The 26,946-nt window shown below is 36.0% G+C and overlaps 2 protein-coding genes across 6 annotated transcripts in view, besides 2 other annotated features; one reads left to right on the plus strand and one right to left on the minus strand.

Annotated features, from left to right (window-relative positions):
- The window catches only part of TEX9 (testis expressed 9), a 216,038-nt gene extending 201,333 nt beyond the window's left edge, over nt 1–14,705 (plus strand). For 4 of the 5 annotated variants that reach the window (NM_001286449.2, NM_198524.3, XM_047432468.1 and 1 more), the window contains one exon: nt 366–578. The gene's annotated coding sequence lies outside the window, so the exon portion shown is untranslated. Of the gene's footprint in view, nt 1–365; nt 579–14,322 lie in introns of those variants that run through there. The other variant, XM_047432466.1, reaches the window with a different exon arrangement.
- MNS1 (meiosis specific nuclear structural 1) overlaps nt 1–19,832 on the minus strand; it is a 36,414-nt gene extending 16,582 nt beyond the window's left edge. The window contains exons 1-4 of the mRNA NM_018365.4: nt 19,665–19,832; nt 18,721–18,942; nt 11,089–11,216; nt 1,536–1,638 (exon numbers count right to left, since the gene is read on the minus strand). Of these exons, the coding sequence (NP_060835.1) occupies nt 1,536–1,638; nt 11,089–11,216; nt 18,721–18,942; nt 19,665–19,667 (456 nt within the window). The 5' untranslated portion in view covers nt 19,668–19,832. The remainder of the gene's footprint in view (nt 1–1,535; nt 1,639–11,088; nt 11,217–18,720; nt 18,943–19,664) is intronic.
- Nucleotides 19,762–20,011: a silencer, noted in NCBI's record as "silent region_6465". NCBI's record gives its function as "represses an Ori minimal core promoter by ATAC-STARR-seq in GM12878 lymphoblastoid cells {active_cell/tissue: GM12878}" and the evidence as "EXISTENCE:reporter gene assay evidence [ECO:0000049][PMID:35858748]".
- Nucleotides 23,335–23,384: an enhancer, noted in NCBI's record as "active region_9455". NCBI's record gives its function as "activates an Ori minimal core promoter by ATAC-STARR-seq in GM12878 lymphoblastoid cells {active_cell/tissue: GM12878}" and the evidence as "EXISTENCE:reporter gene assay evidence [ECO:0000049][PMID:35858748]".

The raw sequence follows: 26,946 nt of genomic DNA on the forward strand, positions 1-26,946 counted from the left end.
GATGGGTTAAACCCCTTATTTCTTTTGAGCATTTTTCAAATCATTTAATAAAATAAGTTTTAAATGAAATATACTGAGGCAATTTTTTAAACTACGCTTTACTTTTATGATCACATCCCGAATGATGGAATGGTCAGCAGCATCAAACATAAAGAGTAAACAGATTAAAATATGAATACTGAATGTCATTCCTGACGTCACTGAAGCCTTTAACATATACTCTGATAATATGACTTGACCAAAAATGTTTCTGATTATCTTCTTTGTACATGCTATACTAAATTCTTTATTAAAAAATGAGATGACAATAACATTTATGTGTAGATTACCACACACTTACCGAAAACAATGTTCTCATTTTACAGATAAGAAAACTAAGGCTCAGAGAAAAAGCCAAAACTAGTACTTGCATGACACCTAGTCAAGTCCTAGTAGTATTCGACTTTCATTTTGTGGATCAATTTTTATTTGGAAAATAGCAGCAATTCTCGTAGGAGTCAGATTAAAACGTCTACAACTACCTTGAATAACTTCAACTATCAGGATAATTAAAACTGCAAACCACTGGACAAACAGGACATTGTTTGTGCTACTTTCTTTTTCAAAGGACAGCGCTATATGGCTTAGCAAATGAAGTCTCTCCACCTTTTCTTATCACCTGCCACACCTAAAGGTATTCCTGTTAACAGCATGCTGTGTACCCGCTAGACATTTTCTATACTAACACAATTGTACACACGCAACACACACATATATGTGTCATTTATGGTATCTATTCTTAATTGATACCCATATTGCACTGCACTGGTTAAGTATTTTGATATCACCCCATAAGAGTGTGTGTGTGTGTACATATGTTTATGTGGACATACACAATAGATATGTATGTGTATATAAACATTCATATATAATTGGCCCTTCTGTTTGATAATGAGAGCTCAAGGGATGATGTGCACCCTTTTAATTAACTGTTAATTCAGTAAACCCTATTATATATTCATACAGCAAAGCACTCCTAGTGAGTATGCCTGAGATTCCTTTGCCCAAGAGTAACTCTTATCTTCAACTTGGTACCATATCAGGAGTTAGAAAAGGGGATAAAAGCAGAGAGAAACATGAGAAAAAGAGATGGCTTTTATAAAACTGGAAAGTTTCCTACATAAAATTATCAAGTAGTTTACTCTTAAAAACATTTAAATAATTAAAAATTTCATAACATTCTAAAATACACTTATCATGGTAACAATTTGTACTGTACTACTTTGTCAGTGAATAATCAGTTAGAGACTATAAAGAATGCTGGGAGTTACTGAATATAGCTGGTCATTCTAAGCAGCAATGTGTTTCTGAAAGGCTCTAATATTAAAAATGAAATCACGCAGGATTTTCTACATCTTAAGGATCTGAAAATTTACAAATATTTAAGAAATCTAGCAGTGTAAATTCTTTATACAATATGACAATTTTTTAAGAAACAAGTCTAATTTTTATTTTCTAAATGAAGCTAAAAACATAATGACCAGAAACATGATTACCATTTGTTCATATTTAATGGCATCCTTTTCAGCAATCTGAGCTGCCCTTTCTTTATTCATGTAAGCTGCTTTTAATTTCTTCTCCAATTCTCTAAGCTCAATGCTGTTTAAAAAAACAAAAACAAATTTAAATGTTAGGACCATAAGAGAATGAAAACCTCACAGAAAACTGAGTAACTGTATTTTTAATTTACTCAAAGAGGGAATACAGCGGGTATTATTTTAGATCCATAGGAGAAATAATTCATTATATTTAATGGATGCCTTTAGGGCATTAGGGCTTACATTTTCTGGTTGAAAAGTACTGCTCTGTTCTATTACATTCATCTGTTTGCTTATCCTGTGTCAATACCACACTATCTCAACTGCTGTAAATTATAATACGTCTACATATCATGGATAAGTCTCCAATTTTGGTCATCTTCTTAGAGACTGTCTTAGCCATTCTTGATACTTTCATTTCCATATACATTTTAGAATCAGCTTGTCAGACTTCACAATAAACAAAACTGGCTGTGATAGTACTGAATTCATAAATCAATTTGGAAAGTACTAATATCTTTACATTACTGAGTCTTCAATAAACATAGTATATCCTTCTAATTATTTGGTTTTTTAAAAGTCTATCGATGTTTATATCTGTGTTTTATTTTGGTAGTTTTATACTTTTCATTAGGTATTTTTCATATCCTTCTGTAGATTATTTTTCAAATCTCACTTTCTAATTGTTGATAATTTACAGAAATACAATTAATGTTTATATACTAAATTTATACCCAACAATATCACTGAATATATTTTTTAGTTTTCAGTTTTACTGATCTACAATATTCAATAAACTGAACATGTTTAAAGGATACAGTTTGATAAGTTTTTACATATGTATGCACCTGTGAAACCATCACCACAATCAAGATCATGAACACGTCCCAATCACTTCCTTATAAACCTGTGGTACCTCTCTTCTACCCCTTTATGTTCGCACTTATCCTGAGGCAAGCTAATTTGCTGTCACCTTAGGCAGTATAAATTTTCTAGAATTCATATAAATGGAATCATAGTGCAGGTACCATTTTTCTCTGGCTTCTTTCACTCAATATTTTCAAATACATCCATTTATTGCATATAGTAATTGCTTACTCCTTTTTATTGCAGGATATTATTTTAAGATTATAGATATCCACTCGCATTGCTTATCTATTCACATGCTGATAGACATTTGAGTTGTTTCAGGTATGTGGATATTGCAAATAAAGCTGCTATGGAAATTTGAGTACCAGTTATTTGTGGTCACAGGCTTTCATTTCTCTTGGATAAATACCTAAGGTGGAATGATCAGGTCATACAGTAGATGCACGTTCAGCGTTTTAAGAAGCTGCCAAACTGTCTACTAAAGTGGTTTTAAGTTTTTATTTCAACTTTTAGATACTGGGGGTACATGTGCAGATTTGTTACATGGGAATATTGTGTGATACTGAGGTTTGGAGTACAGCTCCTGTCACCCAGGCAGTGAGCACAGAATCAAATGGGTTGTTTTTTAACCCACTCCTCCTCCACCCTCTCATAGTTCACAGTGTCTGTTGTTCCCATATATGTCTATGTGTACTCAATGTTTAGCTCCCACCTATAAGTGAGAATATGCAGTATTTGGTTTTCTGTTACTGCGTTAATTTGCTTAGGATAACGGCCTCCAGCTCCATCCATGTTTCTGCAAAGGACATAATTTCATTGTTTTTATGTCTGTAGAGTATTCCGTGGTATATATGTACCACATTTTCTTTACCCAATTTCCCACTGGTGGGCACCTGGATTAATTCCATGTCTTTGCTATTATGAATAGCACAGCAATAAACATATAAATGCATATGCTTTTTTTGGTAGAATGATTTGCTAATTCTTATTTTTAGATTCTTTTTTTTTTTTTTTTTTTGGAGACGGAGTCTCGCTCTGTCATTCAGGCTGGAGTGCAGTGGTGTGATCTCAGCTCACTGCAAGCTCCGCCACCCAGGTTCACGCGATTCTCCTGTCTCAGCCTCCCAGGTAGCTGGGACTACAGGTGTGTGCCACCATGCCCGGTTAATTTTTTGTATTTTGAGTACAGATGGAGTTACACCATGTTGGCTAGGCTGGTTTCAAACTCCTGACCTCAGGTGATCCACCTGCCTTGGCCTTGCAAAGTGCTGGGATTAGAGGCATGAGCCACCACACCCGGCTATTTGTAGATGCTTTTGGATGTTCTACACATACAATCATATCATCTGTGAATAATTAAATTTTTATTCCTTTAATGCCAATCCTAGCACCTGTCTTTGCTTTTTCTTGCCCTATTGCACTGATTAGTATGTATAATACAAAGATGACTAAAAGCTGTCAGAGCAGGCATCCCTGTCTTCTTCTCAGTGTCAGAGGGGAAGTGTTTAACATTTTGCTATTAAGGATAATGTTGCTGTAAATTCCCTTTTATCCCTAGCTTGCTACACTCTTTTTATTAAATCATAGAGTGATGATTCATATCAATGGGCTTTTTCTAATCATATAATTGTTAATAGGATGAATTACATTTACTGATTTTTAAAATGTTAAACCACCTTTGCATTCCTGGAATAAATTAAATTTGGTCAGGATGATTTATCTTTCTTATACAGCACTGGATTTCGTATTGACTAATATTTCAGATTACAGGAGCTAAATTCATGAGAGAGATTAGTCTACAGGTTTCTCATATCGTATTCAGGTAATGATCTGATTAAAACAAATTGGGAAGGGCTTCCTCTTTTTCTGTTTTACAGAACTACATAAGATTGGTGTTACTTTGTCCTGAATGTTTGGTAAAATTCACCTAGCCCTGTAGGTTTATTTGTGGACAAGGTTAAATTACAGATGCAATATCTTTAAAAGTTATAGGAACATTTAGCTATTTCTTCTTGTGCCAATCAGTTTGGTAAAATGTGCTAAGAATTTATCTATTTCATTTACATTTTCAAATTTATTTTCATAAAATTGTTTGCAATATCCTGCTATGGTCCATTAAGTGTTTGTATGCTCTACAGTGATATCACATTATCCATTCCAAAAACTGGTTATTTGTGCATTCTCTTTTACTCTGTCATCCCTACCAAGGGGTCGTCAATTTTATTCACCTTTTTATGGCACAGTTCTTGGCTTTATTTGTTCTACTTTATGTTTATATTCTAACTTACTCATTTCTGCTCTTATCTTTATTATTGCCTTCCTCCTACCTTCTTTTTGTAATCATTCCAGAAGAGAATTTGCAGTTTGTTTTCTAGTAATTCCAGATGGAGTTTTCCTTTCTAATACAGTTATTTCAGATTAAGACCTACCCTTGAGGAACAGCCTTAACTATATGCCACAAGTTGGTTTCTTTTTTTTCAGTCCTATAACATTTTTTATCATGTGAAAATATATGTAACAAAAATTTGCCATCCTAACCATTTTTAAATGTACAACTCAGTGGTGTTAATTACATTCACAGTGTTCTGCAACCATCAACACTATTTCCAAAACTTTTTCATTCCCCCCAAAGAGAAATGCTGCACCTCTTAAACGATAACTCCCCATTCTTCCCTCTCCCTAACCCCTGGAATTCCTAATCTGCATTTTGTCTATTTGCCTATTCTAGATAGTTCACAAAAGTGGAATTATACAAGGAATTGTCCTTTTGTGTCTCGCTTACTTAACATAATGTTTTCAAGGTTCACTAATATTTTAGCATGTATCAGTGCTTCATTTTTTTTTTATAACTGAAGGATATTGTATAATGTATATATACTACACTTCATTTATCCACCCATCTGATGGACATTCAGGTTGTTTCAACATTTTGGTTATTGGAAATAATGCTGCACCAAAAGTTTGTATACAAGTATCCATTTAAGTCTCACTATTGAATTTTTTGTATATTTATGCCTAGGAGTGGAATTGCTGGCTCATATGGTAATCCTTTGTTTAACTTTTTCCCATAGCACCTGCATCATTTTACATTTCTACCAGCAATTTCTGAGGGTTCCAATTTTCCCACTTTCTTGGCAATACCTATTATTTTCCACTACTTTTATTAAAATTGCCTATTAGATGTGAAACAGTTTCTTCTTATGGTTTTGATTTGCATTTCCCTAATGACAAATAATGTTGAGTATATTTTCATGTACTTATCATTCACTCAACATCTTCTTTAGAGAAACGTCTAAGTTCTTTGTTCATTTTTGAACTGGGTTTTTAAAATTATTGAATTGTAAGAGTTCTTTATATATTTCAGATATTAAATCCTTATCAGAGATACAATTTGTTCTTCTGGCCTAAATGAGTTCTGAGTGAGGTAAAACAGATAAGTGCCTTGTGTTAGTTTTTCACGTAGTCCCAAGGTAGGTTAGAACAGATATACCCAACAATTTGTGAATAAGATCTGCTCTGCTCCTCCTGAACCAGGGACCAGGGTCCTGCATTGGGAACAAGGGCTACCTGCCTCTGAGCTAGGAGGGAATGAGGAAAGGGCAAGTGAAGATACCACAGAACTTTACTACCATTTTTAGGCTTTTTCTTGTTTCAGCATTTGCTTGATTGCAATAAACCTTTGAATGCTACCCAAATTTCTTATAAAATTGGTTCTGAGAGTTTCTGCTTGTTTTCTGATGTTTGTAGTCGGGGGATGGGCTGGGAGGAGAGACAGGAGCTGGGAGCTGCCTACTCTGCTATTTTGCTAATATCAGTCCAATCCTGCAACTTTTAGTATGTGGTATTTTCATTATTATTCAGTTAAAAATACTTTCTAATTTCAATTTTGATTATAGACAGTCTCTGATTAATGATGGTTTGACTTTACAATGGTGAGAAAACCATATGCATTCACAGTAGGTTCCTCAATTCATGATGGGATGCATCCCAATAAACCTGTCGTAAATTGAAAATGTAGTTTATTGGGACATGAACCCATCGTACATCAAGGAGCATCTGTACTTTTTGACCAAAGGGTAATGTGAAGCACATTTTTAAATACCTAAGCATATAAAGATTGCCTAGATTTTTTTTTATTACTTACGTCTAGTTTAATTCCACTATGGACAGAGAAAATACTATGTATAAATTGATTCCTCTGAAAATCTGTTGATATTTTTATTCTGATACAACATTTCATCAATTTTGGCAAATGGTTCAAATATGTTTACTATAACTACTAATATAATTGGGTTTCCATTTACAAGCTTATATCTTCTTTCTACTTGTCTTCCCTGTCCTATGTTCTCTCTTCTCTCCTGTTTGCTTCTGTGTTGGGGGTTCCCAAGACCACCATCAGGTTAGATGATTCACTAGGAGGATACAGGACTCAGCATATAGTTATACTCACGGCTATGACTTACTATAAAGAAACGAAACACAGCAAAATTGGCAAAGGAAAAAGGCACATGGGTGAAATTCAGAGAAAACTAGGTGCAAAAGGCCTCTACCTGTGGAAACACACAGGACACGCTTAATTCCCCGAGCAATGAGTTGTGACGTGTGAAATGCCTGGCAGACAACATTAGAGCTCATCAGAACTCAGTGCTCTGGGTTCTTATTGGGGGTGGTAACTTAGGCACCCTCTACTTAGAACGTACCAATATTCCAGACTCCCAGAAAGAAAATGGGTATTCAGTATAATCCATATTGTTTTGTTTTCTTTTTTTCTTTTTTTTTTTTTTGAGACAGAGTCTCTCTCTGTCGCCCAGGCTGGAGTGCAGTGGCGCGATCTTGGCTCACTGCAAGCTCCGCCTCCCAGGTTCAAGCGATTATCCTGCCTCAGCCTCCCAAGTAGCTGGGACTACAGGCGTGTGCCACCAGGCCCGGCTAATTTTTTGTATTTTTAGTAGAGACGCGGTTTCACCGTGTTAGCCAGGATGGTCTCGATCTCCTGACCCTGCGATCCACTCACCTCGGCCTCCCAAAGTGCTGGGATTACAGGCATGAGCCACCGCACCCGGCCTAATCCATATTGTTTTCACATTTTAGCCACAGTGAATCATCCTCAGCAGTTAAGGTGGTAAGAACCTTCTCAAAAGCCTAGTTTCCAGAAACCAGCCAAAGACCAAACTTGCAAGGAGGACTTTCTAAGATAGCCTCAAGCCTGCTATGTTAACTCTTTTTTACATGAGTTTTTTGGAATAATCAATTCCTATTATCGTATTTTATTCTCTATTAGTCAGTTATATTTTCTTTTCCAAATTTTTATTACAGATATTACAGCATGTTTCTTTGTTTCCAGGTGAATAAATTTATTCATTATTATTTGACAATGCAAGATTCTTGACTTTAACTTCATTTACTTCCTATCTCATTTTGTCATATTTTTAACTCTTTACATATTTTAATTCCCAAAAGACATAATAAATATTTTATACATTCAAATATCAACTAAATTTACTATACATGTACCTCTTGCAGTTCTGAAATTAAGCTTGGGATCATTTTTCTTCTTCTATTAATACCTAATGAAGAACTGCTAGTATTCCCTTTAATGCAGGATTATTGGTGATCAATCTTCTGTTTTTGTTTCTCAGAAAATGTTATTTTGTGCTCTTTTAATCTATCTCATCTATTTTATGAATTAACAGCTTGATTATCAGTCCAGAACATAATTATACTGGTATAAGCTAGGTAATGGTAATAGTATTAAGAAGGAAAAACTGTCTCTGTCTTTTCTTTGAAATGGTTTTTGCTGAACTTAAATATAAATGAGATATGAGGTACTTGCTTTTGCTTTCATAACAGTATGTGTTAACTGTGTAATAAATACATTTAGTTAATTGGGCAATTAATTATAACTACTAATTGTTTAGTGCCATAATTTAAAATAGGATTTCTAAAAATAAACAGTGAGTTTCCCAACTCCAGTTAAAAACAGCAGCAAAGTTAAATTATCTTTTAAGTACTTTCTTGGATTACAAAACCATGTGTTCCAAAATCAATTAACAGGAGTCATGATTTCTGAGCTCAAAGAAATATTTTCAAAATAAACTTCAATGATTTTTTAAATGTGCCGTGCATTTAAAAAATTAATTTCTTTTACATTAAAAAAGCTAAATCTTAATATAGGTGATTTTAAATAAATTAGGACACATTTTAAGCACCAGAGCAGTTCCCTGAATTTAGACATGCCAATTTGAAATACAGTCCATTTCTGCATGACAGTGAAAATTTTAATATGGCTTGTGCACAAAATAAAAACACTCTTAGCAATTCTGACACTGCTGAGAGGAGGCATACTCTGTGAAAGAGTACTCAACTGAATGACTTTTAGTTTGAAAAAATTTTTCACAAGGTATAAAATTCTGGTTGAGTTGTAAATTTTTTTGTATATACTCAAGCACTTTCTTCCTTTTAGTTTTTGTGGGTACACAGTATATATTTGTATATATTTATGGGGTACATGAGACATTTTGATATAGGCATGCAATGCATACTAATCATATCATGGAAAATGGGGTATCCATCCCCTCAAGCATTTATCATTTGTGTTACAAACAATCCAATTATACTCTTTATTTTTAAATGTCCAGTGAAATTATTATTGACTATAGTCACCCTGCTGTGCTATGAAATACTAGGTCCTACTCATTCATTCTATTTTTTTTGTACCCAGGTAAATCTGTTATCTTTTAATTTCTACTGTTTCTATTCAGGATTAAGTCATACTTCTTACTGTTGTCTCTTTGGAGATAATCATCTTTTTTGTTCTGGCTGCTTTTTTATGATTTTCTATTACTGTTGGATTTTAAAAGTTTTATTAGGATGAGTGAAAGTACTGTTTTCATTACTTGCAATGTTCTGAAAATTCCAGGCCAGCATCTCCTCACATAATGCTTCTGTATTATCCTCTTTCACCTCTCTACCAGGACTAAAATTATATTAATACATCTGCTAGAACTTTGTACCATAGCCCGTATCTCTTTTAAATTCTCATCTGTATTTTTCTATCCTTTTGTCTCTCCATGCTTTATTCTGAATATTTTCCAGAACCTTTTCACAGATTATCCCTTAATCTGTGTCTAATAAAATCTAATTCTGTATTATTGAAGTAAAACACACACTAAAGTGCACAAATCTTAAGTGTACAGCTTGTAGAACGCTGTTGAACATACTGCCATATGCTTATTGGCCAAGCTCTGCTTCACTTAACTCTCAGCCATTGTTTGGAATCAGCAGAAACCTCTAGAGGAAATGCCACTACAAATGCCAAGCTTGCATTCTGGTTTCCTTCCTTTCACAGATCTTAATTTTATGCTTTTCCTAGACTTTTTCTCAGGAGGAACATTTATCTGAATAACCTAATCTGCAATTGCTAGAAGTGAAAATCTCTTCTATTTAATTCTTGTTTTCAGGGAATTAGAGATAAGAAATAGTTCATCGTCAGGTGAAAAAAAAAAAAAAAAAAAAAAAACCATGAGTAACAGCTAATGATGGTTGGAGAATTAGGGCCCAAAAAGATAGTTTGAGACTAGAACAATAAGCAGATTTTAACAGTAATTCTAAATTTCTAAGGATCGGTAATCTCTTAGAGAATCTGATTAGAGTTGTGGAGCCAGAAAAATACACATGGATACATTTGCCAAACATATTAATATAATTTAACAAGGTTCAAAATCCATGAAGCTCATCCATGTTTCCTGTAATATTCTACAGACGTCCTGCTCAATTAAGATAAAATGTAACAACTATCGAAGTAAATTTCCAATATATTCAATTACATAAGTATATGATTAGCATTTACTTGGCCCTGAGTTTTGATTAACACTGTGACAAGGCTGTTCCTAAAAAGTAATTCGATCTTAGGCAGGATCAAGAAACATTCTAGAATAGTGTCCTGTCATCTGGAGTATCTGGCAGTCTTTCTTGGAGTATTATACGGAAGTATGGGGGCAATTAAGGAATACTAATAATTTAAACTGTAATCAGAGAAGAAACCAGGATGATGAATAAACTTAAAGCCAGGTTATGTAAGAAACAACTGAAGGAACAAGGGATAGCTAACTTACAGAAGAAAACATTTAGTGCGTTCATATATGTGAAAGGACATCTAAAGAAGACAGATGCATGAAGTCACAGAGAAATTAATTTTAAAACAATGGGGGGGAAGATAATTTAACATTAAGACTAAAGTTCCTACTGCAGTTACTAGAGGTACTGAAACACAGGCTCCACAGTCATTCCAGAAATACTGTAGGAAATTTATGTAGAGGTATAAAATTAAACTAGTTATTACCTAAGGTTTCTCTTAAGATTAGGAATTCATTTTTTATAAGAGGTCATTTTAAAATTTATGTGTAAAGGAAAGAGCAGGGGGACTGATATTTATTTTTCACTGTAAATATTCAGACTTCCATGAATACAACTTCTTTTCTCAAATAAATATTTATAGAACTTAAAGCAATAAGTATTTCCAGGTAAAATATTAACTAAGTGAAATGACATAAACAAAGAAATTTCACTTTCAGGTGCTAAGGATTACATAAGAGTTTAAAGATAAAGACTAAATAAATGAAATTTAGAGAAACCAAGATACCTGTTTTCTCTTACTTGTTGCCTCATCTTTTCGTCCTTTAGACTTTCATGTTTCAGTTTTGCCAATTCCATAGCCAGTTTTTCTTCTTGTTTGAGCTGGAGTTCTTTCAATCTCTTGTTTTCTTCTGCCTGAACGAAAAATTTAACTTCGTTGTTTGTCCTCTAGAATCAGATTTTTTTCATCAAGGTTGAATTTGTTTTATAACAGAAAACTAAATGCCTTAAGGCCAACAATTGATGATGTTTTATTTTAAAATACAAAATGTTGTTTCAATAAATACTTTTTCAAAATATTTTATCATGGAAAATTTCAAGTATTGCCAATAGTAAGAAGAATATTTAAATACACTCTCAGGTACCCATCACACATGTTTTCAAAAATTGTCGACATTCTGCTAATCTTTTTTCTCTACCTTCCATTTCACTCTTTTTTCCCTTATTCTTTTTCTGCTAGGGTGTTTTAAAACAATCCTAGACATCATGTCACTTACCATGTAAATAATTCAGTATGAATATCTACCTGATCAGAATTTTTAAAAATATAACAATCATGTCATCAACACGTCTAATTAACAATAATTCCTTAATGTCTAATACCATGTTCATATTCAAGCTTTCCCAATTGTCTCAACATACTTTTCTAGTTGGTTTGCTTAAATCAAAATCCAAACAAGATCCACATATTGCATCTAATTATTATTTTTCTTAAGTCTCTTATATATTCTGTAACAATCACCTCTACACACATTTTTCCCCCAAGCCACTGACTTGTTATAGAAATTAGGACATACATCCCGTAGAATGTTCCACATTTTGCATTTGACTGATTGCTTCCCCAGGATATATCACTGAACTTTTTTTCTCTTTTATATTTCCTGTAAAAATGGCAGAAAGATCTAGAGGCTTGATTAAATTCAGTATCTAATAAAAACACATGAAAAGATATTCAACATCATTAGCCATCAGGAAATGCAAATTAGAATTGCAAGGAGATATTACTACGTACCTATTGGAATGGCTAAAACAAAAAACAGTGCCAACACCAGATGCTGGCAAGAAACTATCACTCATATATTGCTGTGTGGGAATGTAAAATGGTACAGGCATTCTGAAAATCAGTTTTATAGTTTGATATAAAACTAACATGCAGCTGAGCGCTGTGGCTTACACGTGTAATCCCAGCACTTTGGGAGGCTAAGGTGGGAGGATCCTTAAGGCCAGGAGTTTGAGACCAGCCTGGGCAACATAGAGAGGTGCTGTCCTTACAGAAAATTAGCCAGGTGTGGTGGCACAAATCTGTAGTTCTAGCTGTATCAGGAGGTTGAGGTAGGAGGACCGCCGGAGACCAGGAGTTCAAGGCTGCAGTAAGTCATGATCATGCCACTGCACTCCAGCTGGGCAACAGAGCAAGACCCTGTCTCTTAAAAAAAAAAAAGCCTCCATGCAATTATCACACAACTCAACAATTTTACCTCTTAAGCATTTATCCCAGGGAAATGAAAACTTTTTATTTAAAAACCTGTATACAAATGTTTACAGCAGATTTATTCATAATAGCCAATACCAAAAATACTCCAGACATCCTTCATCATGTGAGTGGTCAAATAAACTGTGGTACATCCATACTATGGGATACTACTCAGCAATAAAAAGAAAAAGAATGCAAGCAAAACTTGGATGAATCTCCATGAATTATGCTAAGTGAAAAAAGCTAATTCCAAAAGATTACATACAGTTTGATGCCATTTATGTAACATTCTTGGTACATGTTATTTTTTAATAATTGAGATATAATTCATATAGCATAAAATTCACCTTTTACAATTCACAATTCAGTGATGTTGTATATTCACAATGTTGTGTATCTATCACCACTATCTAGTTCCAGAGCCTTAAAAAAAATAGACTTTGAAGTTTTGGGTTCACAACAAAATTGAGCAGAAAGTACACAGAGTTCCCATATATTCCCTGTCCCTACACATGCTCAGCTTCCCCTTCTATCAGCCTCCTCCATTAGACTGGTACATTTGTTACACTCAGTAAACCTGTATTTACATTACTTAAACCTATGCATCATTATCACGCAAAGTCCATAGTTTACATTAAGGTTCATTCTTGGTGGTACACATTCTATGGGTTTTGGCAATGCATAATCATATGTATCTACCGTACACAATCATTTCACTACCCTAAAAATCCTCTGTGATCTGTCTATTCAACCCTTCCTCCCTAAAATCCTAAAAACAACTTACATTTTTACTGTTTCCATAGTTTTGCCTTTCCCAGAATGTCACATAGTCGGAATTATACAGAATGGAGCCTTTTTGGACTGGCTTCTTTCACTTAGTAATATGCATTTAAAGTTCCTCCACATCTTTTCATGGCTTCATAGCTCATTTCATTTTGGCACTGAATAATATTCCATTGTCTGGATGTATCACAGTTTATCCATTATCTACTGAAGGACATCTTGGTTGCTTCTAAATTTTGACATTTATAAATAATGCTGCTATATATTATAAACATTTGTGCTATGGCAGCTATAAAGCTGCCATGTTATATTTTTATAAATGCTATAGATATATATAGGTGATTGTATGTACACACTATATATAGCACATCTGTGTGTACATTTGTGTGTGGCATAAAATGTCAACACTCCAGAATGTTTACATCACCCCAAAAGAAACCTGTAACCTATTAGCAGTCACTTACTATTCCTCTCACCTTTTCCCCCAACCCCTGGCACCTACTTATCTATTTTTTGTCTCCATGGATTTGCATATTCTGGATATTTCATATAAATGAATTCACACAATATGTGGCCTTTTGTATCTGGTTTATTTCACTTAGCAAAATGTTTTCAAGGTTCATCCGTGTTGTAGCATGTATCAGTAATTCATTCCTTTTTATGGCTGTGTAATATTCCATTGTATAGATGTAACACATTTTGTTTATCCATTTATCAGCTGACTGGCATCTGGGTTTCTACTTTCTGGGTGTCATGAATAATGCTGTTATAGACACTCGTGTATGAGTTTTTATGTAGATATATGCCTTCAATTATCTCTTGGGAATATATTTAGTACCCAGCTACACCACACCTAGATTTCTGACTTGCAGAAACTGAGATAATAAATGGGTGTTGTTTTAAGCAGCTAAGTTTGTGGTAATTCGTTACTTAGCAATTGAAAACTACTACAGCAACTAACGTGTACTCTTCAAAATTGTCAAGGTCATGAAAGACAGCAAAAAGTGAAGAATTCTTACAAACTAGAGGAGACAAAGATTGGAGAAGAAACAATGACTGGCTGGGCACGGTGGCTCATGCCTGTAATCCACTTTGGGAGCACTTTGGGAGGCCGAAGAGGACAGATCATCTTAGGTTGGGAGTTGGAGACGAGCCTGACCAACGTGGAGAAACCCCATCCCTACTAAAAATACAGAATTAGCTGGGTGTGGTGGTGCATGCCTATAATCCCAGCTACTTGGAAGGCCTCGGCAGGAGAATCACTTGAACCCGGGAGGCAGAGGTTGTGGTGAGCCAAAATTGCGCCATTGCACTCCAGCCTGGGCAACAAGAGCGAAATTCTGTCTCAAAAAAAAAAAAAAAAAAAATACATATATATATATATATATATATGTGACTATAGTTTATTCAAATGCAAAGCTTGAGGACAGCCACTCAGGAAACACAAACTCCAAAATAATGGGTCATTGTTCCAACGTGGGGAAGTTAAGGTTTCACTTATATAGGCAGAGACAGAGAAGCTTAACAGGGTTGCAACATTTTCCATATAAGGTCAGTATACATATTATAGCAATTTAATTAGTTGCATTCCAAGGAACATTCCATGAGAAAGGGTAATGATCTTGAGGGGTCTTATCTCTGGTGTCTTTCCTAATCATTTACAGAACAAGAATAAGGAAGATTTAATCTGTAATTGGAAAAGCAGAAGTTGTAGCAGCATGCTATGTGACTCAGGACACATAGCCACATTCCTCTCAAGGCTAAAAACTAAGGATACATGACAACTAAATGCAATCTATGGTCCTCAAGTAGCAAAAACACATTAGTGGACAAACTGATGAAATCTGAATAAATCTCACAGTTAACAGTATTCCATGAAAGCTAAATTCTCCATTTTGATAACTTTTCCATGATTTTCATCTGTGTAAGATGTTAAGAAGTAGTCAGGTGAAGGGTATATGTGAATTCTCTACACTGTTTTTGCAACTCTCCTATAAATCTAAACTTATCTCAAAATAATAAGTTAAAAATATGCATATTTCCAAGATTTGTTCACTGAAAAAACCTGGAAGCAATGATAACCCAAGAATTATGAGTAAACCTAGCACCCAAGTTTTCTTGAAATATTATTTCCACTAAATGATAACAGCGCTTCCTGGCACAATGGCTGATTCCAGGTGTAGGACAAAAAATATAAGAGAGAAATTTTGTATTTGTCAGGGTTCTCCAGAGTAAGTGATTATGAAGGCAGGCAAGTTCTAAGATCTGCAAGGTGAGCTGGCAAGCTGAGGAACTAATGGTTTTGTTCTAGTTTGAGTCCTAAAGCCTGAGAACCAGCAGGCTCAAGACCCAGAAAGAGCCAATGTTTTAGTTTGAGTTCAATGACTAGAAAAAAAGGAAATGTCCCAGCTGAAAGGCAATCAGGCATGAAGAATTCTGTCTTATTCAAAAGAAGGTCAGTCTTTTTGTTCTATTCAGGCCTTCAACTGATCGGATGAGGCCCACCTATATTAGGGAGGGCAATGTGCTTTATACTCAGTCTATGGATTTAAATGCTAATCTCATCCAAAACAACCTCACAGAAACACCGAGAATGATGTTTTATCAAATACCTAGAAACCCCAAGGCCCAGTCAAGTTGACACATAAAATTATCACAAGCCTAGAACAGTTTGTTTTGACAAAAAGCAAGGAAGGTATCAAAGATTAAGGAAATATTGTCAAAAGGACACAGAGGGCCAGGTGCAGTGGCTGACACATGTAATCCCAGCACTTTGGGAGGCCGAGGCAGGCAGATCACTTGAAGTCAGGAGTTCAAGACCAGCCTGGCCAACATCGTGAAACCCCATCTCTACTAAAAATACAAAAATTAGCCTAGCATGGTGGTGCAGGCCTGTAATCTCAGCTACTTGGGAGGCTGAGGGAGAAGAATCTCTTGAACCCAGAAGGCGGAGGTTGCAGTGAGCCGAGATGGTGCGGCTGCACTCCAGCCTGGGAGACAGATGAAGACTCTGTCTCAAAAAAAAAAAAAAAAAAAAAACGACACAGAGGCAATATAAAAGGGCATCCATTGGCCAAGGATGAGATAATTTGAGCATCAAAAATAATAATAAATGCAATTAAGTACATAAATATCTATGAGTCCATAAAGGTATTTTTAAAAAGAGACAAAGTCAAAAACTAAATAAAACAAAAATTTAAAAACAACCACAACATAGGTAGACACCAATGGAAGAAAATAGGACACCAATTCCTTACTCTGAAAATTAACTGTCTCCTTTTTCAGTAAGAATAAATAACCCTAGTCAATAACAAAGTGTTTTTTTGTTGTTGTTTTTTTTTTTTTTTTTTTTTTTTTTTTTTTTTTTGTGGGGTGGGGGCAGGGGAACAGGGTATCTGTCATTCAGGCTGGAGTGCGGTGGCAAGATCATAGCTCACTGCAGCCTTGAACTCCTGGGCTCAAGAGATCCTTCCATCTTGGCCTCCCAAAGTGCTAGAATTATATGGGTGAGCAATTGTGCTGGCCCAAGGTGAAGTTCTTTACAGAGGAATTTCAGCTAATTAAATGTGAAAGGAATAAAAGAATCAGAAAATCAGTTTTTGTAACCACTAATGAAAGAAAAAATTCTTTTGTGAAACCACAGATGAAAGTTTGATGGGAACCTTTACAGTGGAGAAACCAGACTGTCTTCCTAAACCCACTGATCAATACTGGCATCACTAAAAGTGGAACAACCAGACCTCATGTGTTCCCTGTTGTGACACAATGACAAAGACAGCATCACCTATGGAGTATTCTTGCCAAAAAAGGTGGACCGCAATCTAATTGTGTCTTTATGGCTAGGTTCTATTTAGAGGAAATATAACAGATAGGGAAATAAATTAAAGGAACATGAGGAAGCAAACACGTATATTCAGAATGTGGGCTACTGGATAAAACAACTGGCTTAGTTTAGCAAGCTAAAAACATGAAGTCAAAAAAGAAAAACACGGTGAAGGAGGGGCTGTTTTCAATTAAGAGGGACTTAAACAGACATAACCACCAAATACACCGTATGAATGTTCCTTGGATCTTGGTTAAAACAAACCAACTGTAAAAGCAGATTTTTGACACAATCACAGAAATGTGTTTATGGAATGGGTGAGATAATAGTATTATGGTACTCCATGTAAGAAAACATCCATATTTTGTTAGATGTACACTTAACTATGTAGGAAAGAGTTGGTGTGATACCTGGGATATTCTTTCAAATTAAAGAGAAAATAATAAGAATAGGAAAAATATCCAACCCCTAAGATGTGCTTTCTCAGAGTTAAAAAAAAAAATCATATCTAAGCTTTTGAATTTGGAACACAGAAGGGTGGATATCATTTTTTAAATTTGCTTTTGTTATTCTCCACAAAATCCTCCAAAATGTTTAACATACAGCAGCTACTCAAAAACTACTGACATATCAGAATACCTTTTATATATTTATGAGAATTCACTTCTATCATGTCTCAATTCTTATTAGTTTCCCTTTTCTACCACCTTAATCCCTTAAAATGTTGAGATATACCTAAGGGTTCATTTTCTACCACTTAATAATGTATACATTAATTTCAGTAAATTTTTTAAAGGCACCCCTAAATTTTTGTTTTTAGAAATTTATGAAAGGCAACACAATTGTACTTACATGAACAAAACTGGTAGTAATTACAGAGTTCATATTTATGTTAAAAAAAAATCTGAGTGCTTATTCTGTACCAGGCACTATTCCAAGAGTCTTGCATGTATTAACTCATTATTAAAACAATCCTAAGTAGGAGGTACTATTCTTATTCCCCATTTTATAGAAAAAGCATAAAAAATAAAAGCAGGCTGGGCGCGGTGGCTCACCCCTATAATCCCAGCACTTTGGGAGGCCGAGGCGGGCGGATCACGAGGTTAGGAGTTCGAGATCAGCCTGGTCAATATGGTGAAACCCCGTCTCTACTAAAAATTAAAAAATTAGCCAGGCGTGGTGTTGCGCGCCTATAGTCCCAGCTATTCAGGAGGCTGAGGCAGAAGAATCGCTTGAACCCCGGAGGCAGAGGTTGCAGTGAGCCAAGATCGTGCCACTGCACTGCAACCTGGGCGACAGAGCAAGACTCCATCCAAAAAAAAAAAAAAGTAAAAGCAACTTACTCAAGGGTCCGTAGCTAAGGTATAGCAGTAGTAGGATTCAAAGACAGGCCGGCTCCAGAAACCCAGGTCTTTACGATTACACCGAGCTGAGGCACAATCAGGCATCACTTACCTGCTGCTGTTGTTTATCTACTCATTTCCAGCATTAACAGCTGACTTTCATCGTTTCCAAGGTGCAAAATGAAAAAAAAAGTAACAATGAATAGTAAAACTTACCTTTTGAATGGCCTCTTCCATATCCAACTCAAATTGTTCATTTTGTAATAATCTGAGAAATTGCTTGCGCTGAACACGGTTATCATTTTCATTCTGCACCATTTGATTCCTGATTTGACTGTTGACGTTTTTTAGAGCTTGGACATGTAATTTTTTGCAGTAGTTTTCATCTACTAATTTCTGATGCCTTTCACTACAGCTCAAATTTCTCCTTTTGGAACCCTACGATGGAAGAAAAAAAAAGATGCATATTTTGATATTCCAAAATCTAATTTTAAAAAATGTATTGATATAAACCTTAGTAAGAAAGGATACGAAGAGCCTGGCTTCCTTCCTAAATTCAAAGGAGTATACCGAATAAAAAGTAAACGTGGTAAATATGTTCACATATCGATTAAATAGGTACTGTTATTATTACCTATTTTATAGATGAAACATGAAAAGTAACTTTACCCAAGGTTCTGCAGCTAATAAATAGCTGTGCTAGGATTAATCGCACCCTACAGACCCAGATCTTTACTACCACCAGGGAATTTCTCCTCCCCTCATTCCACCCACCACCACCACCACCACGACTACCACCACAGGGCCATAAAGTGCTGTTCAGAAGCTGGTCAGATTTTCCTAACATAAATGTAATAGGTCAATTCGCCGCTATTTATCAATTCGCTTTCTCCTACACTTTTATATCTACTTATTTCTTCAGAGGTTCTATTGGGCAGATTTAAAGATGTATTTAATACACTATGCGAAAAGTGCCAAAAAAGCTGGAAACCACCGCGAGCGTCCCTTCTAATAGCACCTGAAGCCTCCGAAAGCAAATACAAGTTCCCCAATTAATGACCAGATTAAGCACTTAAAATCCTTTTTTAGAAGCAGATGAGCGCCAAACTAGAATTAAATCAACAATAAACAAGTAGTTTCAAGTCCCCCAACTGGCTCACCATCTTGGCTGACGAAAAATACCCCCTCTCGTGGGACCGCGGCCACCACCTCCCGCCGCAAACGCAGCAGCCAGCAGCCCCAAGGAGCGCACCTGGCTGCGCGCGCTCGGGTGTTTACGCGGCGTCTTGGCAACGGTGGAGCTGCGCGCCCTCCGCTCGACCAAAAGTGACCCACGCAGAACGTGGCCTCCCATTGGACGCGATAAGATACAATCGGCATTGAGCTTCTTAGGACCAGGGCAGGAGGGCTACTTCTATAGGTCTAAACTAGAAAAGCGGGAAGTTCAGACTGTGGCCTGACCCAAGCACTTTGCAGTGGGCTAGGGAAGCTCGATTTCCCTCCAGCGGCCGAACTGTGGTTTCAGTGGGTTTGGGAGCCAAGTTCGGGACTGTGGAGACTGCGCACAGAGAAATACGCAAACTACTGCCTAATGCATGGAGCCGAAGGAAATTTCCACGCATGGAGCATCCCGCACACTAAGTGCCTAGTCAGCCAGGTCTCTGCTAGGGACGATGACTGGTTTAATCCTCAGCAATGGGAGTCCAGGTCGCTGTCCCCTTTGCTGGGTTGTGAGGCACTGAGGGTAGCACGAGCTTCCAGCAGCCTTCACTTCACCCCCCCGCCCCCCCCCCCCCCCCGCAGAAGCTGCTGGTAAATTTTGGGACTAAAATCTATGAGCCACATGAATCTTACTCTGCTATGTGGTCCAGGTACCAAGAGAGAGCACGTTACATGATGGCAGGATGTTGATCTGGTTCATTCCATAGGCAGGTTAGACACTAAAGTCCATTTTAAATGGGAAGTTTAAGAATGATAATGGATCAGAGAAATTAGATATACTGATTTTAGAAATGATACATTCAGAGAAATCTTGTCAACACTAAAATATTTGTATAAGGTGATTAGTGGTATAACTTTGTGTTATTCTAATTTGGAGTCCGTCTTCTGTAGCAATATGTCTGCTTAAAGATTAATAACAAATGGGACTTGCAGTTTCAGTGCTGACGTGTAAAAGCTTGGAAGTTGTCACCCCATCCTTACAACCAGATCAAAACAACTAAAAATCAGCGACTTCTCTTGGTTCCATCATACAACTGAGGTCGCTCGTCTCTCTGTCCTTTGGTCATTTATCCCGTGGTTGCATATCTATGTTGTCTCTAGTACTCCACTCATTGCCATCACTGTTTGAGAGAAATGGAGAGAAGGCGTAAACCTGCCCTCTGGGTGTTCTGTGTAAATTGATCTGGAATGGAGCAAAGCAGGCAGCCTGCTATAAATTTCTCTTCTTGGCATATCCATCTCCGCAAAGGGTTGGGCACTGTATAGAAGAGACAGGAGACAGGCATGGGTTCAGGGTTGAACAGGGTATAACACATTCAATAGAGTGTGGGGTTTAATTTGTTAATTCCTAATAGTGAAATAGTGACATTGCAAAGTATTTCAGCAAACATGTATGTTTTTTACTGTTTACTTCTCGAAATGAAGACTTTCGTCTCTAAAGGGAACTTCAGTTATAATTCCTCATTTCCAGTATACCCTTGGATATGGTAGAAGGATTCATATAATTTCATAGGTAATCTGAGAAAAAGATTTTTGGCCAGAATATTGACCTAAATCCAAGACAAATTTAATCAATTGTAACAATTAGCTGATTTTAACCTTTAAAAAATTATCCTAACAATTACTACATTTTTAATAGACTTTGCTCCTTTTTCGAAGCAGTTTTAGGTTTACAGAAAAATTGACAGAATACAGAGAATTCCCCGTCTCACCTCTCCTCCCCACCGCACCCATACAATTTCCCCTATTTTTAGCATTACATATTAGTGTAGTACATTTGTTACACTTGACGAACCAATATTAATATGATTAAGTTCGTAATTGACATTAGGGTTCACTCTTTGTTTTGTACAGGTCTATGAGGATTTGTTTTGTTTTTTTTCTGAGATGAAGTCTGGCTATGTTGCCCAGTCTGTAGTGCAGTGACATGATCTCGGCTCACTGCAACCTCTACCTCCCAGGTTCAAGCGATTCTCCTGCCTCAGCCTCCCAAGTAGCTGAGACTACAAGCAAATTTTTGTATTTTTAGTGGAGACGGAGTTTCACCAGTTTGGCCAGGCTGGTCTTGAACTCCTGACCTCAAGTCATACACCCACCTTGGCCTCCCAAAGTGCTGGGAGTATAGGCATGAGCCACTGCTCCCAGGTGGGTTTTGAGAAATACATAATGTCATGTATCTGGCCAGGAGTGGTGGCTTGCACCTGTAATCCCAGTTACTTGGGAGACTGAGGCAAGAAGGTTGCTTGAGGTCAGAAAATTGAGACATATTGTCATATATCTATTATTACAGTATCATACAGAATAGTTTCACTGCCTAAAAAGTCTCTGTGTTCTACCTATTCATTTCTCCCTCACTCCTTCCTCCCAAACCCCTGGGAACCACTAATCTTTCTATTGTTTCTATAGATTTGCCTTTTCCAGAATGTCGTATCTTTGGAATCATACAGTATGTAGCCTTTTCAGACCGGCATCTTTCCCTTAGCAAAACTCATTTAAAGGTTCCTGCAAATCTTTATGTGACTTGATAGCTCATTTATTTTTATCACTAAATAACATTCCATTGCATGTCATTATTAAAAAACAATTATTACATTTAAATATTATTTCTAGTAATAAATTATTACTATCATAAATGATACTTCATTGTTAAGGGAGGACTTATGCCTTCCCAACATTACAAGGAAGTCTTCTCGTTCATTTCCCTCTAGAAAACAACTTTTTACCTACAAGTCTAGACTAAAATGTCTAGAGTACTGAGGGGAAGGAGCTTTTCCTTATAATGGATGATGAATTATACTGATTAATGTCCCCCAGTAGTTACAATATAACAGGGTTGAACTTAACAGAGTTGCTGATCTGAAATAAAGCATGTTAATAGATGTGCACTGTTAAGTGTAGCTATACAGTAAAAATTATTTACGAAATGGTATTGCTTTATAAAATAAAGCAATTAGAACAAAACAATTTTTCTTTCGTTCAGAAAAATGCCCAAATCTAATCTAATTTGCTGCAGCTGGACACCACCTGCAGATGACTGTTGAAATACTCTGAACATTACACACTTATCTTTTAAATATTGATAATGCCATTCTTCATTTTCTCGACATGAAATCCCAGAGGGAACAATTATGCTAATAAACCTTAATGATTCTTGCAAATAAGTGATCAAACCAAATTGCTGCTGTTGATTTATATTAATGGATGCCTTTAGGATGAGATTTGCTAGTATGGTGCTGCCTCTTGAATCTCAATTCATCTTATTTAGCTGAAGAGGGTACATAGTTTGTTAAATAGATGAAGTGTTTAAAATATAATGTGCTTGTGCAGTTTCTGCACTTCATAATGTTCAAGTATTACCATCTTGCCTTGTGGCAAATCTGCATTTAATGGTTTCATTGTATATAACTTCCTTTAGTACTTTTTCTGTCTGTCATATGCAGTTAGGAAGTGACTACTTTCTGGTTGATGCAGAATAGGCTAACTTCCATATATTGAATTTGATTGTTTCATTAAGACAAGAAAATCTGTTTCTGGATATTTTAGCCACCATAATCTGGGAATCATATGGACTGTGTGATGATGTGATCAAGTGCTAAATAATTGTTAGGGGTAAAGAGACATGAAGAAATGGTTGGTGAGCTCACTGAAACCCAGGCTTAGTGGATGTCTTTCGTTCCTCGTCTCTCACTTTCACTTTTGCTCTTGCATCTTCACTATGTCTACAGGAATAGGAGATTGCTGACTTCATGAATTCTAGCATAACACTGAGAAAGAACTACAGAATTGTAATATATTGATTTCTAGGGTTGAGAACACTACACAGAAAGAATGCTTATTCATTGTAGATATGAATAAAAATTTACCTGGGTAATTTTATTGAAAAGCCACTATTTGTAAATGAGTAGTAAAATAGAAGACTGGCATCTACATATTATGTATATAGGAATGGAATACAGAATTTGTGATGTCAAATAACTTGTGATGTCATTAGGAATTTGTTATATGATGCACAGAGACTGTAATTTGGCTAGCGGTGAAGTAAAGATGACCATATTAAATTCATCATGAAGAGTGGAGGAATCCCCTTCTGAATTATATAAGCTCTTATTGGTAAAAAGAAAAGTATACATATATACCTATATTTATATAGAGATATATACATGTGTAAACTATGTTTATATGGATTTTTTTCATTTCTTAACTTTAAAAAGGTACCAAATTTGATGACATTTGATATATTTATGGCAATTTTTCTAGTGAAAACTTAACCAGACCAAAAATTTTAAACGACTAAAGGCACGATTTTATTTATTGCAAAATTTTCTAATTTAGCAAAAAAACAAAAACAAAACACCACAAAAATGGGTGATCTAAACATGCAGTGTTTAGGGAATGGCTAATTAAATTGTGGCATATCAGCTATGTACCTAGAGAAGTGTGTCTGGAGGGCCAGAGGGGCCAGCCCAGAAGAGGCAAACTGTGGAAAACCTGAGCAGCAGCATCTTGGGAAAGGAGAATAACTGGGCACTCAGAAGCTGGGCACTGACTCTAAGGTCCTAGGGAAAAAGAGGAACACAGCTGCCCTCCATGGGGAACAGCAGATAAAGAATGTGGTCACCAAGGAGGGAGAGCCAAAGAGGCTAAGCTTGCTGTGAGCACAGGAAGTAAGGCAGAGGCCCAGGGCTGTCTACATTGTCCTTGGACCCTGCTTGGACTGTTGGACTGCTGACAGATGTCTGGGAGGGAGGGAGAGAGACAGAGAAAGAGAAAGAGACACTGAATCAATTAACTGAAAGACCAAACAGGTAAGAACAGTCTAGCAGTTCTGTAACAACCTTGCCTTCATAATAGACGACAAAGCGCGTAAGGAAATGTAGTGGAAAACACTTGATTAATATTAGAAAACATTATCCTGCTACCTTATCATTTATTGATTTATTGAGTGCCTCTTACGTGCCAATCACTTCACATGTAATTGTCTTTACTTAGTAAAACAACCCCATTCACTTTATAGATGAAGAAAACAAGATTCAAAGGAAAGAATTAACTAGGCAAGCTCGTAGAAAGGGGTAATCATGGGACAGAGATTTGTACGAAGTCTGTCTCCTAGCTCATTTTTCATGAATCCAGCATTTTTCAAACTATGGATCACAAACAGTATTTAAAAAGAAATGGAATAGAATAGCCCAGAAAATATAGAGTGCATCAAATCTAGTTAACTAGGTATTGTTTTGTGACACTTTTTAGTTCTAGATAGATGATTGATTGACCTATCAATAGATAGATAGAATGTATATATTGGGTCACGATGTAAAATATGTATCTTACTAAGGGTGAAGGTCAGAAAGTTTTGAAAATGAGTTAGACCATATTGCCTCTCTTTCTCAATCTTAGGAAGATACCTCTTTGAATTATAGCAAAGTTCACATTTTAAGAATTTTTCCCACAATGTCAATGGCATCACTCCACTCCAAATAATTTTTTCAAAGAATCACTGAATCAGACATATTTGAAGTATTTTCAACTAATTGTACCAATCCTTCCAATAATTATAGAGTAGTAAACCAAAGTGATTCCTCATTTACTCTTTCCTAGGCAAACCCAGCTTTGTTTTATTAAAATTTGTATTACAATTAATTACTCTGACTGTAATAAAAGATATCATGTTAACAGTATCGTAGATGATATAACAATTTATACATAATGAAATGCGATGTGCTCATAGAATATTATACAATATATGTTCTACATAGTATTTATAGAACAATAATGACAATTACTAAATTGTATTAGGTATCCAGTACTTGCTGATTTGTGTCCATATCAGCAATAACAACGATATTTTGTTAGAAGCAGAGACTTCCTAATTTGGAAGTATGGGGAATGCTAGGGAAAACTGATGCAGGCATAAAGGCAGCATCTGGAGAGAAAGGAAACAACACTTTCAATACTAATTTTATAAGCAGGTAGTGCCAAGGAATCCAATTAGATCAACAGGTACATGTGACAGGAATCAAGGAAACAGATCCTTCCATCTGACCCATCCCACTGGAGATGGTGGGTAAACTTAATTAGTTTGCTTGGTCCTCTACTTGTTGATTTCTGTCCACATATCAATGAGGAGTTCAATATATAGAGTGAAAACCTAACCTATCATAGGTCTCTTGTTTTATAAGATATTGCTATGAGGATTACAGAATAACCTGAACAACAAGGTAATAGTGGCCTCTAAGGCAGCATTAGTCATAAAAGTAGCAAAAAAAAAAAAAAAAAAAAAAAAAAGAAAGAAAATGGGAAGAGTAAAAAAGTGAATAGCACCATAAGTGATGAGAGACATTCTTGCTTCCTATTTTTTTTATGCTTCTCTGGCTATTTCTCTACTAATGTATTCAGAGCAACAGTTACCAACTGTGTACCTCTCCACCATATAATTCTGTTCCTTAGGGTTTTTCTTTCCTTTCCTAGTAGATATACCTAAGAAATAGTCAAATAATAATTCACAAAACCTAATCCAGCCCCTTAGTTCTTTAGAATCTGTTATAGTAACTGGCATCTGGTGACCTGAACTGAGCTGATAAATTTGATCAAATCTATGACATCATCAATGATATGCACCATTATTTTATTCATCAGTAAAGAAGAAAACAATCCTACTAATTAAATTGTAGCAAATAATCTATTTAAAGATATCCCAATTTCAGAAAGGTTAAAATGCAAAAAAAAAAAGTCTTAGAATCTGTGAAAACATGGATTTTTTTTCTCTCTGGAAGTAAATTTTACTACAATGCATTTATCCTAATGCCGTGCCATCATGAGAGAGCATAAATGAGGAACTGCGATAATGGTAACTACAACAACCAAAGAGAAACCATTGCTAATCAGTCCCCACCAGCAGAATAAGATCCTAATTCCTACTCAAGTTATGTATATTTTTATCCCTCCTTGGCATCGACCAGGGCAATCGCCACACTCTGCATCAGTTAGCGTCCTCTGAGTTGCAAATGCTGGGATGGAATTGGATGGTCAAGAGGTTTATTTGGAGAAAGTCCTAAGAAAGCTAAAGAGGGAGGGGAAAAAGAGACCATAATATAGATCTAACTCATAAAAGCAGAGAGGAAAAGAAAAAGGAGCCTCAAGCAGCAGCACAATTCTGAGAGAGTTTCTACCAGGCTAATGGGAAGTCTCCAAGCAAAGACTTCCCATTAGATATGTCCCATGTTG

Source organism: Homo sapiens, chromosome 15, assembly GCF_000001405.40.
Source record: "Homo sapiens chromosome 15, GRCh38.p14 Primary Assembly".
NCBI classification, from domain to species: Eukaryota; Metazoa; Chordata; class Mammalia; order Primates; family Hominidae; genus Homo; species Homo sapiens.